At 37.5% G+C, this 12,371-nt stretch overlaps 1 protein-coding gene across 2 annotated transcripts in view; it reads right to left on the bottom strand.

Annotated features, from left to right (window-relative positions):
* The window catches only part of ALMS1 (ALMS1 centrosome and basal body associated protein), a 224,162-nt gene that overhangs the window by 35,036 nt on the left and 176,755 nt on the right, over positions 1-12,371 (bottom strand). For both annotated transcript variants that reach the window (NM_015120.4, NM_001378454.1), the window contains 1 exon segment: positions 1,460-2,622. In NM_015120.4, coding sequence (NP_055935.4) covers positions 1,460-2,622 — 1,163 coding nt within the window.

Below are 12,371 nucleotides of genomic sequence, written 5' to 3'. Positions count from 1 at the left end.
TAATTAAAAATTTCTGGAAATAGATAGTGGTGATGGTTGTAAAACACTGTGAATATACTCAATGCCACAGAATTGTATACTTGAAAATGATCAAAACTGTAAACTTTATGTCATGTGTATTTTACTACACACACACAAACCCTCTCCTGGATCCATTTATCTATCTCCCCTATGGAACAAAAGCCTTACTCTGTACCATTCCCAATTCTTCACTTACTTTAGAAAAAAAGCATACTCTATTATTTATATATGTAAACACTGCCAAAAGCTCAATGAGGAGAAATAATATTTATAATAAATTGTCTGAACATCTCATGCCTCCCTTTCTCTAGACCAGTGGTCTCCAATTTCTTTTGATCATGTAATCTGACAAAAATTTTTTTAGCACAAGTTGTCAAAATAGATATTTATTTATATGTTATGTCACTACTGTACTCATAAAATATACACAAAAATATAAATTTTAAAAAGTTGGGGAAAATGAATATAAATTCAAATATTTTTCGTTCCATACTCCACTGAACCATTTTGCAAGCATCCTTCTTTGGAGAGCATGTCTAGTGATACTTGAAATTTTCCTCTTGGGTTAAAGCAATGGCCTACATTTATTGACCCCTTGAGATCTCCCTTATTAACACCCTAAACTAAGGAATGTGATAATGGCCTTATAGGAGGATACTCTTTGTTGCACTGTGGTGCCTTCTTTAAGAAGACAGATGAGAGAAATTTATTTTAGGTCTCTTATCAGAAATCTGTAATGTTTCTAAAAATTTTGTTCTCTTTTTATATTAAAAAGTGAATGTTATTGATCACAAAATTCTAGCAACACTAAGTGCTAGAAAACATAAAGCCAAATTTGTAGCTCTTTTCTAGCGACCACATCCACAAGGCTTATTTATCTTCCTCCTGGCTTTGACTTGTCTTTCCATTATTCACAATTCCTTATTTACTCATTTTTAAAAAATCATATTGTAGCTCACCCCAGCTTCAATTTTTCAAATCAACTCCATTCTTCAATTACAAAAAAAAAAACCCTGTATTATTTATGTGTTTGTCTGTGTGTGTGTGTTTAAAAGAACCTCAAATATATTTCCTGAAAGACAGAGAGGAATGAATTAAAAAAAAAAAACCCAAATAAACATAAACCCAGCAATATTGTTCAGGATAGAGATCATTCTAACCTCAAAGCTCCCCCATTTCAGGGGTAAACTTTGCAGACTGTGAAGGATCTAGCAGCAAAGCCCTTCATTCAAAAGGTAATTCGTAAATGAATGTTGATGAAAATAATGACAACTCACAATAGCACTGTACTACACTTTCTCACTCTTTTCCAGTTGGTAAGAAATGGTATAGAGAGGAAAGGGCAAATGGCTTGTTTTTTTCACCTGTGTGCAAAGCTTAACTAAAAAGTCCATGAAGAGGGCAGTCACATTGCCAGATGGAATCTGTAGCCATGTACCTGGATGTGTCTCCTTCTGGTGTGCTCAGAAGTCACTAGGGGATGACCTGTATTCAGCACTTTCTTGCTGTGTTTGCTCCGCTTCTCAAGGTATCTCCTCTGTTGGTTGGTGATGCTGCTATATAATTTAATTCGTCTGGGTGACAAGCATACTCTTTCATGGCCAAAAGCTTGAATCAGCCGGGCAGTGTCAATAGTGGAAACAGAGCTACTCCTTTCGTGCAGAGCCACCTCTCTATCTGTTTGGGTCAATATATCTGATTCGACAGTAGAAGTGGTGCCGGAAAGGATGTTGGTGGTAGTATCTGTGAGCAGCTCACTCTCCTCTGAGGGCCGACAATCCGAAGAAGTGTTGCTTATATAATTAAAACCTGGCTGTTTACTCAGAATATATTTATCAAATTTAATCTGTTCAATTTTAATTTGATTAGACCTCCCAGCTCGATGATGAGAAAGCACCTTGCTTTTTTTAAGCTCGCCTGTATTTTTATGGCTTTTCTCTAGGCTTTTAAACCGCTTCTTTTTCTGAAGCTTATTTCTCTGCTGTTGTCTACCACTCCATTCCTTCACACTTCGTTCCCCTCTGCTATCATCATGTGTACTTTCTGAGACCTGGAGAGAATGTGTGATTGGATTCTGAAGAATTTTAGCCAAACGATCAAGTCGGTCCACCAAGGACAGTTCTTTCCTGTCACCCAACTCAGGCTGTCTCTGTTGCCTCTGTCGCTCCCGATACTTGTTCCACAGTTCATTCAAACTCACAGTGTGCTGAGTTGTTTGCTCTGGGGTGACCTTCTGATCCCTTTGTGGATCACTAATTTGTCCATTATGTTTTGGATAATCTCTAACTTGACTTTTAGTAGTATCCATCACTTCTTTGTTTCCCAAATTCACATTGATGCTGAGGCTCTTTATTCTGGTATAATCTGTCTTAGTCTTGTCCATGTTTTGATAAGGAAGAGGAAGACACATGTGTTCTCTATGTTTGTCTGGATGATGCTGAAAGAAATCTTTCCAAGAATGTCTCATGAAAACACTCTTTCCCAAAGATTCATGGCAAATATCTTGATCACTTGGTAGGTGTACGGGATGATGAATGTAAAACTTTGCTGACCTGAAGACAGAACGGGTAGTATTTTCAAATTCTGAATGACATTCGGACTCTGAAAAGGAGAAAAAAAGATTTTGAAAGAACTTAAAAAATTAGCATTCTGTTTAGAAATACTATTCACAATTCTTTAGATACAGAACAAAGACTAAAGGAAAGAATAGTTTATATAAGGTATCAGAAAATTCACTGCCTGCACAAAAGACTGATGCCTTGTTCTTAGTAGCCTCGCTGGTACAGTAAAAGTTTAAGAGACATGAATTTTGGCCTGGGCTCTGCCACTGACCGGCTACGTGACCTGGAGGAAGGCACTTCAGTTCTCCAGATCATAAAAGCAACTGCTATATGTATTTACCACCTGTTCTGTGTAGGGTGTTATGACATATGCTCTGCATCTGTTTTTTTTTTAATTAATCCTGCTATTAAACCTGACAGATATTGGTAACCCCATATTCAGCTAAGAAACCTGACACTTCATTCTCATAGTCAGTAATTAAATGGATAAATTTTTTAAAAAACCCTTTTTACATGTTTTAGAGCCCTTTGAAATTCCTTTTCTGTGGACCATCTTGACTTTTTTTCCAAATTTTTTTTTATTGTGGTAAAAAACACATAAAATTTACCACTTTCTATCTTCATTTTTTGACATTTTTAGATGTAATATCTTACAATTTTCTATGGTTTGAATGTTTGCGTCCCTCTAAGATTCATGTTGAAACATAATCCCCAATATAATAGTATTAGGTAGGAGGTGATTAGGTCATGAAGGCTCCACCTTCATGAATGGGATTAGTGCCCTTTGGCCTGAAGGCTCCTGTTTGGCCTTTCCCTGCCTTCCACCACGTGAGGACAAAGCAACAAGACACCATTTTGGAAGCAGAGACTGGGCTCTCACCAGACACCCAATCTGCTGGTGCCTTGATCTTAGATCTGCAGAATTTTGTTACAGCAGCAGGAATGAGCTAAGACACAATCATAAACCCTAATTCTAATCTCTGATATGACATCAAAACACTGTTTTAGAGTTCTACATCATGGGCAGAAACAAAGATACACACATGCAATGATGGGATCCTTTTCACCCACACTATAGATTACTGGCAAGCAGAGTTTTCATGAAATACTCTAGGAATCCCTACGGACTTCCCCAGAGTAGAGTGGGACACACAGGGCCTGCATTTATACCTAAAGTATGTAGACTATACAATTTTAGAATTATCTAGCAACATTTAAAAATTGGGAGATTTCATTTAGATTCTACAGGTTCTTGAGATTGCAGCTTCTGCACTGAACAAATGCAAACAAATATATAATTCTAAATTAGGGGCTACAAAGAACAAAAACAAGCTGATATAAGAGAAATTTTACTGGGAAATGGTAGCTAGAGAAGAATTCTCTGAGGAGGATGAGATGTGAAGTAAAAATGAGAGCTAAACAAACAAACAGGAAGAAGAACATTCTGGGCTGAGGGATCACTTTCTGTGGATGTCCTGAGGCAGCTGCCACCTATGCCAATCCACCTGCTCCCATAACCTTTCTGGATACAGAGACAACACCACCTCTCCCATTCTTTTAAAGGCAAGTTCCTCCAATGCTGCTCTGGAACCCAACTCATCTTCCCTTCCAGACCTTGCTTCCTTTCCCTATCATATCTCTCTTCTATCTTTCAGGGTCATTTCCATTGGCTTGAAAACATCATTTAGTATGTATGTTTAGAAAATCCTCACATCTTCCTCCAGGTACTGGCCCACTTCTCTGCTCCTCTTCATAGCCAAGCTTCTAAAGAGGAACCTATTTTCCTCTCCTTTACCTCTCTCCCTACCCCAATTCCCTCTTCAAATTACTGCAGAGTACAGCCATACTTCTGGACTAAAAGTGCTCTTGCTAATATGATCAATGACCTCAATGTATGGCCAATTTCCAGGAAATGTTCTCAGTCTATATTCTCTTTCTAGGTAATCTCATCTCTCCCTGTGGCTTTTAGTACCATTTCCATGCTGTTACTTATTTTCAAATTTGCATTTCAAGCTACGATTTTTCTTGAGTTCCAACTATATACATGATATATCCACTTGGATGTCACAGCCATCTAACTGAGCTCTATTCTAGCCTCCTTGACAACTGTACCTTCCCTAGTCTTCCACATCTCTGTGAATGGCACATCATCCTACTGCCCAAGCCAAAATCTGGGAGTTATTCTTGATAGTTCCAACTCCCTCCTCTTCCTGTTCCTGTCATTAATCCTTCACCAAACAATCACACATCTATTTCTATTTCCTGTCACAATACTGCAAGTCTCTAATAGGTCTCCTGTCCCTTCTTGTACCTTTCCAATCTATTTGTCAAATAGTGGTCAAAGTAGTCTTTTTAAAATGTAAGCTGGACTTGTCATTTTCTATTTAGCAATTTTCAATGACCTTCTCTTACACTAAGAACAAAGCCCAAACTCCTTAACAAGAAGTACAAGTATACATAACTTTTCTTCCTCATTTTGTACCACTCTTCCTGATAACTATACTATAGTTGTGCTGGCCTTTCCCCTGCTTCATCAAATAGCATGAGCAAAAGCATAAAAGTAGGAAAGAACTGAGGCAATAAGGGAGAGTGCAAATATTCAGTATGTATGGCTTATTTCATTTATAAAGCAGAGGAAAGTAAGGTAGCAAAGGTTATTTGGGGCCAAATTCTACAGGGCCTGGAACACTAGGCCAAGGACTTTAAATTTTATTCTTAAAAGAAATGAAGAGCCAGTATACCATTTTGAACAGGCGAGTAACATAATTATGGCTGTATTTCAGGAAGGATACCTTGGCAACAGAATAAAGCAAAAATTTGAAGGCCTATCTAGAATTCATTAAAGCAGTAAGTAAAACAATAAGGAAATAGATAACATTGCTCTAAAATGTTTATTCCCTAATATCAGTATTTTCAATGAACATAGTCCTCCCAGCCTGGGAATGAAGTAAAATACAGAAAGGATAGTAGAAAATAAGCAAGCTGAAGGCTGGGCACGGTGGCTCAGGCCTGTAATCCCAGCACTTTGGAAGGCCAATGGGGGTGGCTTACTTGAGGTCAGGAGTTCAAGACCAGCCTGGCCAACATGGTGAAACCCCATCTCTACTAAAAATACAAAAATTAGCCAGGTGCGGTGGTGCACACGTGCAATCCCAGCTACTGTGGTGGCTGAGGAAGGAGAACTGCTTAAATCCAAAAGGTGGAGGTTGCAGTGAGTCAAGACCGTGCCACTGCACTCCAGCCTGGGCGACAGAGCGAGACTTCATCTCAAAAAAAAAAAAAAAAAAAAAAAAAAAAAAAAAAAAAGAAGCAGAAGCAGCAGCAAGCAAGCTGAATTCCTTAAGTATAAAGGGCTTTATAAAACAACAGGATTTGATAATCACCATCATCTCATGGCACTTTGTTAAGAGTAAAGGTCAAATAAGTTGAAGTAGTTATTTACTTCTGATAATGGAATTAATTTTACTCATAACATTTGCAAAATTCTCCCCGAATATATAAAAGTACATGAAAATATCATTTACTGCTTTTCATTTATTTTTAAATATTTCTTTCATACCTAGAACTGCAGACTTTTAAAAATTAAACATGCAAAATATTCAAATAATGCAGACAAATTTAATATGAACAGTAAAGTTCTCCCGGTTATCTCTGAACCTCCTAGTTCCACTTTCTGGTGATAACCAATATTAAACAAGTTTTCTTATAGAAAAATTCCTGCCAAGTAGAGTAAAACTACTTGTTCAAAGCAAGATTTTGTGCATCTACAAACATTTTATATTAAACTGATTTACTTTACCAAAATTTAACTAAATATTTAGGTTGTTTCCAATAGTTTATTCTTCCAAAGCATGCTGCAGTGAACATTTGTTTGTGCGTTTATGTGTAGCTTCATTTTATTTTTCTAGGTACAACTTTATCTGTGTATCTGTTATTCCCTTAAATGGAAGTCTGGGTGAAAAGGGAATATTTATTTCAACATTAGTTAGATATCATCCAATTGTTCCACACTTTCAAAAATGTTGCAACAAATTTGCACTTCTAATAATAGTCTTATAAGAGTACATGAATGTTTCCCCATGTACTCAACAATACTAAGGATAATCAAATCTTTTCATCTGTGCTATTGTGACAGGTAAAACAAAATTTGTGGCTTAGTACATTCTTTATTAAGACAGTTAAGTATTTCTTCATATCTTTAATGGCCATTTGCATTTCTTTTACTATAAGCTTTTTGTTCAGGTCCTTTGTTTTCCTTTTAGGCTGTCATTGATTTGTAAAAAGCTCTTTGCATAGTAAGAAAATTAGCCCCTTTTCTCAGTTTCTCAATTTTTTAAAATTGTTTTCCCATTATTCATTTATAAATTGATTTTGCATTATGATATTTTCTACCATGAAGACACTTTAATTTTAATATATACATTTATCAAATCTTTGGCTTTATGACTCCAAGATTTTGTCAGACCTTGAAAGCCTTCTTCTGCTCAAATTTATTAGAAAAGTCAGAAAACCAGAACTTTTATGATCTCTTTTTTATACTTGGATCTTTTATACTTGCATTTTGGTGACAGGAGTAAAGTAGGGCTACAACTTAAAATTCTCACGATACTCTAAATGGCTAGCAAAGCATCTTGGCATTATTTGTTGAGTAATCCATCTTTTTACAAATGGATCTGAAATGGCACCTTTATCATAGAGTAAGTGCCCACTGTATTTAAGTATTTTCACTGATGTATCAGTCTCTTGTCCCAGTAGCATCCTTTTACTATTATCACTGTATAATTCATTTAAATACCCTGTAAATTGTAATACTGTGATATAATAAATACATATTTTGCCTTAACCCTAGCTCCTGGCCAGAACTACTAAAACTCTTGTAATTTCCATTTAGGAAAACGGGATAACAGCAATAGGGGCATCTTTTATTATGACATTTGGTTTTTGTACTTGGTTCTTGAAACAGTTCAAGAGCGAGTGATAAAGGTTCAAGGAGGGTCTGTTATTCAAAACAAGTCACTTCTGATTGCACTTGAGTTTACATTAATGAGGTGAATTTTGGAAAGCCCCTTAGGATGGGGGGCCTGTTTACCAAGGGAACAACCATATGTTTAGAGGGCTGGAACTTCCAGCCCCAACCCCTGATCTCTGGGGAGGGGACAGGGACTGCAGGTTGAGCCAATCACCAATGGCCAATGATTTAATCAATATTGCCTATGTAATGGCACCTCCATAAAAACCCTAACAGACAGAGTTTGAAGAGCTTCACATCTGGTGAACACAGGAGAAGCTGGGAGGATGGCAGGCCCAGAGAGGACATGGAAGCTCTGTGCACCTTCCCTATACCTTGCCCATGTATCTCTTCATTTGGTTGTTCGTGCGTATCCTTTGAAATATCCTTCATAAAAAATCAGGAAATGTAAGAAAATGTTCCCTAAGTTTTCTGAGCCATTCGAGCAAATTACCAAACCTGAGGAGGGGGTCATGGGATTCTCCCCACCACCCCAATTTGGAGCTAGTTGGTCAGAAGTATAGGAGGCCAAGCCATGCAATTGGTATCTGAAGTGGTGGGCAGTCTTGTGGGACTGAACCCATAACCTGTGGGGACTGTGCTAAGTACAGGTTGTCAGTGTCAGAACTGCTTAACGTGAGGGGAAACCCCACACATTAGGTGTGAATACAGTAGTCCCCCTTATCTGTGGTTTTGCTTTCTAAGGTTTCATTTACCCATAGTCAACCATGGTCCAAAAATATTTAATGGAAAATTCCAGAAACAATTCATGATTTTTAAATTGCACGTCGTTGTGAGTAGTATGATGAAATCTCTTGTCATCCTGCTCCATCCCACCCTAGGATGTGAATCCTCCCTTTATCCAGCATGTCCGTACATTTACACTACCTGCCCCTTAGGCACTTCATAGCTGTCTGGGTTATCAGGGTGACTGTCATGATACTGCAGTGCCTGTGTTCAAGTAACCCTAACTGTAGTTAGTAATGGCCCCAAAGTGCAAGAGCAGTAACGCCAGCAAATTGGTTATGCCAAAGAGAAGCTGTAAAGTGTTTTCTTTAAGAAGATGAAATTTCTTATTTATCATTTATCTATCCACCTGTTTTAATGTCAGAATGCATTAATTTTTTAAAATAAACTTTTAATTTTAGAATAATTTGGATTTACAGAAAAACGGTGACAACAGTACAGATGATTACCTATACCCCATACCCAGTTTCCCCTATTAACACCTTACATTAATACAATATATTACCATGAATCAATCAATAAAGTTACATTATTATTAACCAAAGGCCATACTTTGTGTTGCCTTGTTTTGTACATACTGTTCTTTTTCTGTTCCAGGATTCTATCCAAGACACCACATTACATTTAATTATCATGTCTCCTTAGGCTTCTCTTAGGTCTGTGAGAATTTCTTAGGCATCCCTTGTTTTTCATGACTCTGACAGTTTTGAGAAGTACTGGTCAAGTATAAATGTCCTTCATTTGAGTTTGTCTCATGTTTTTCTCATTAGACTGGGGTTATGGGTTTTTGGGAAGAAGATTTCAAAGTTAAAATATATTTCTCATTACATATTAAGGGTACATACTATCAACATGACTTACCACTATTGATGATGATCTTGATGACCCGGCTGAGCCAGTGTTTGCCAGAATTCTTCACTATATAGTTATTCTTTTTCCCCCTTCCTATAAAAATACACTCTTTGGAAGGAAGTTAAGTTACTATGTGCAACCCATTAGTTAAGAGTGGGAGTTATGTTCCACCTCCCTGATGGTGGAATATCTACATACATTATTTAGAATTCTGCACAGATTTGTCATTTCCCCCCATTTATTTATTAAATCATTTACTTTTATCAGTACAGACTCATAGGTATTTATTTTATACTTTGGTTATGATCTAATACTATTGCTATACTACAGAAACTGTCCCAGCTTTAGCCACTGGGAAGTTTTTTACTTGGTCCCTGTGTTCCATTGACATATTCCCCATCCCTGTGCATTTTTTTTTCTTTACTTTCTGGCACCACAAAAGGGTTCAGGCTCATCTAATATATCTCCTGTCCCAGTCTGAGAATCAGGCATTTTGCCAAGGAATCCTGGACATTTGTAATTGTGGGTCTCATTTCTGTTTCTTGTTGTTGATACTGTTTCTACTAATAGTGCCTTGACTATGAGCTTGGTATTTTAGGGAATTTAGGGTATTTTAGGTCTGGGTTGAAGTTTCTTCAGAGAGATGTGCATTTGCATCCGAAAGGCATGTGAGTCTGCAATACCAACCTACTGCCATTGTTAAATTCTCGGCTTGAGATTTTTCAGAACACACCTGTAGTTTACTGCACTAATAAATTATACCAGTACAAAATTAATGACTGTAAATCTGTGTGAACACTAGTTTGTGGTTATAAATTCTGAGGATAAATTTTGTCTTCTTTCCCCAAACTCATTATCAAGGTTAAAACAGGCAGTTTTCTTACTGTCCCCTTCTACATGGACGTGTTTATCTTTTATTCTTATAGTAAGAGTGTAGCCCACTGGAGGCCTACTTTACATGGGAATTTCCTTTAACATTTTTCATTATGGGCGGGCCCTAAGTTTCATGTTATGTCCCCAACTTAATGGTCCCATTTGTATGAAAGTCCAGAATAGGGAAATCTACTGAGACAAAAAGTGGATCAGTATTTGCTTAAGTCTCAGGGTTTCTTTTTTGAAGTGAAGAAAATATTCTAAAATTGATTATGGTGATGGTTGATTGCACTTATCTGTGAATACAGTAAAAATCATTGAATTACATGTTTGATTTTTTTTTTTTTTTTTTTTTTGAGACGGAGTCTTGCTCTGTCGTTTGGACTGAAGTGCAGTGGCGCGATCTTGGCTCACTGTCGCCTCTGCCTCCCAGGTTCAAGTGATTCTCCTGCCTCAGCCTCCTGAATAGCTGGGATTATCGGCATGCACCGCCATGCCCGGCTATATTTTGTATTTTCAGTAGAGACGGGGTTTCGCCATGTTGACCATGCTGGTCTTGAACTCCTGATCTCAAGTGATCCACCCACCCTAGCTTCCCAAAGTGCTGGGATTATAGACATGAGCCACTGTGCCCAGCCTTACATATTTTAAATGGGTAAATTATATCTGAATAAAGCTGTATGAAAAAATTTTCTATGGTCTTTTGGAAAGGGTTTTTTTTTTAAGTTTAACCCATATAGGCTTATGCATGCATGCACACACACAGACACACACACACAGCCACACACACCCCACATCAACCTCATTACTTGTATTATTCCCAGGTGTTTTTAAACTTCACTTACAAAAAAAATTTTCATCTCCACGATCTGTCATAAGCTAATTATGTGTGTTCAAGCTCCCCAGTATTATTTTGTATTTGTCCATTTCTCTTTGAAGATTTCCTAGGGTTGTCTGTTTTATTTTTTTTCTCCCTACAAGCAAATTCCACCGTCCAATCCCCCTGTTAAGCACCTTTTGCCTCACAATCCATCCTAAGAGTTGTTTTCATATAATTCCATACCTTCATTTTTTATTTTTATTTTTTTTTTTTTTTTTTGAGATGGAGTCTCGCTCTGTCACCCAGGCTGGAGTGCAGTGGCGTGATCTCGGCTCACTGCAAGCTCTGCCGCCCAGGTTCATGCCATTCTCCTGCCTCAGCCTCCTGAGTAGCTGGGACTACAGGCGCCTGCCACCACGCCCGGCTAATTTTTTTGTATTTTTAGTAGAGACGGGGTTCCACCATGTTAGCCAGAATGGTCTTGATCTCCTGACCTCTTAATCCGCCCGCCTCAGCCTCCCAAAGTGTTGGAATTACAGGCGTGAGCCACCGCACCCTGCCCTCCTTCATTCTTTTTTAAGGCAACATAAATTTCCTTATTGATTGAGCTCCTGGTTTTCGTTTTATGAATTTTTTATGCTAAGTTATTTGATGTTTAAAGATTTATGCAAAATATCCTCATTGTGGATTGCAAATCAGTATAAAAATATACCTCTTCAATTCCTGCAAAACTTTTGGTGAATTTAACCTCATCTATATTAATGTCCCCAAATTTCTTTTTGATACATCTCTAAGTTTTCTTTTTGCTTTCCACCTTTCTCAGTAATTTTACTTTTGATATGTTTGTTATATAGCATGGAACTGGGTTTGTTTTTTAATATAATCCAAGAAGTTTTTTTTTTTTTAATATAGGTGAATTTAGTTTACTTATATATAGACTTGCATGCTTTGCTGTCTTTCATTTTATGGCAATTTTTTGTTTTTGTTACAAATTTACTGTTTTCTTTTTCCCTCCCTTTACCTCCAAGCTAACCTGTTTTTCTAAATATTTTGGATGTTTTATAGTTTAATTTTAACTCTTTTAGGGGTAAATTTTATAATTTTCTTTTTTTTTGAGATGGAGTTTCACTCTTGTTGCCCAGGTTGGAGTGCAATGGCATGATCTCAGCTCACTGCAACCTCTGTCTCCCGGAATCAAGCGCTTCTCCTGCCTCAGCCTTCTGAGTAGCTGGGATTACAGGCATGCACCACCATGCCCGGCTAATTTTGTATTTTTAATAGATATGGGGATCCTCCATGTTGGTCAGGCTGGTCTCAAACTCCTGACCTCAGGTGATCCACCCACCTCAGCCTCCCAAAGTGCTGGAATTACAGGCATGAGCCACCGCGTCTGGCCTATAATTTTCAACCCTATAATTACTTACACATGTATTTTTTGATTTTACAACTTTAAAGGTGAAGTTTGCTCATTTATACCTCCTTTAACCTC

The sequence above is a fragment of the Homo sapiens genome, chromosome 2 (genome assembly GCF_000001405.40).
Source record: "Homo sapiens chromosome 2, GRCh38.p14 Primary Assembly".
Lineage (NCBI taxonomy): Eukaryota > Metazoa > Chordata > Mammalia > Primates > Hominidae > Homo > Homo sapiens.
Note: the sequence above shows the minus strand (reverse complement) of the source record. Positions and strands in the feature narration are given on the sequence as shown.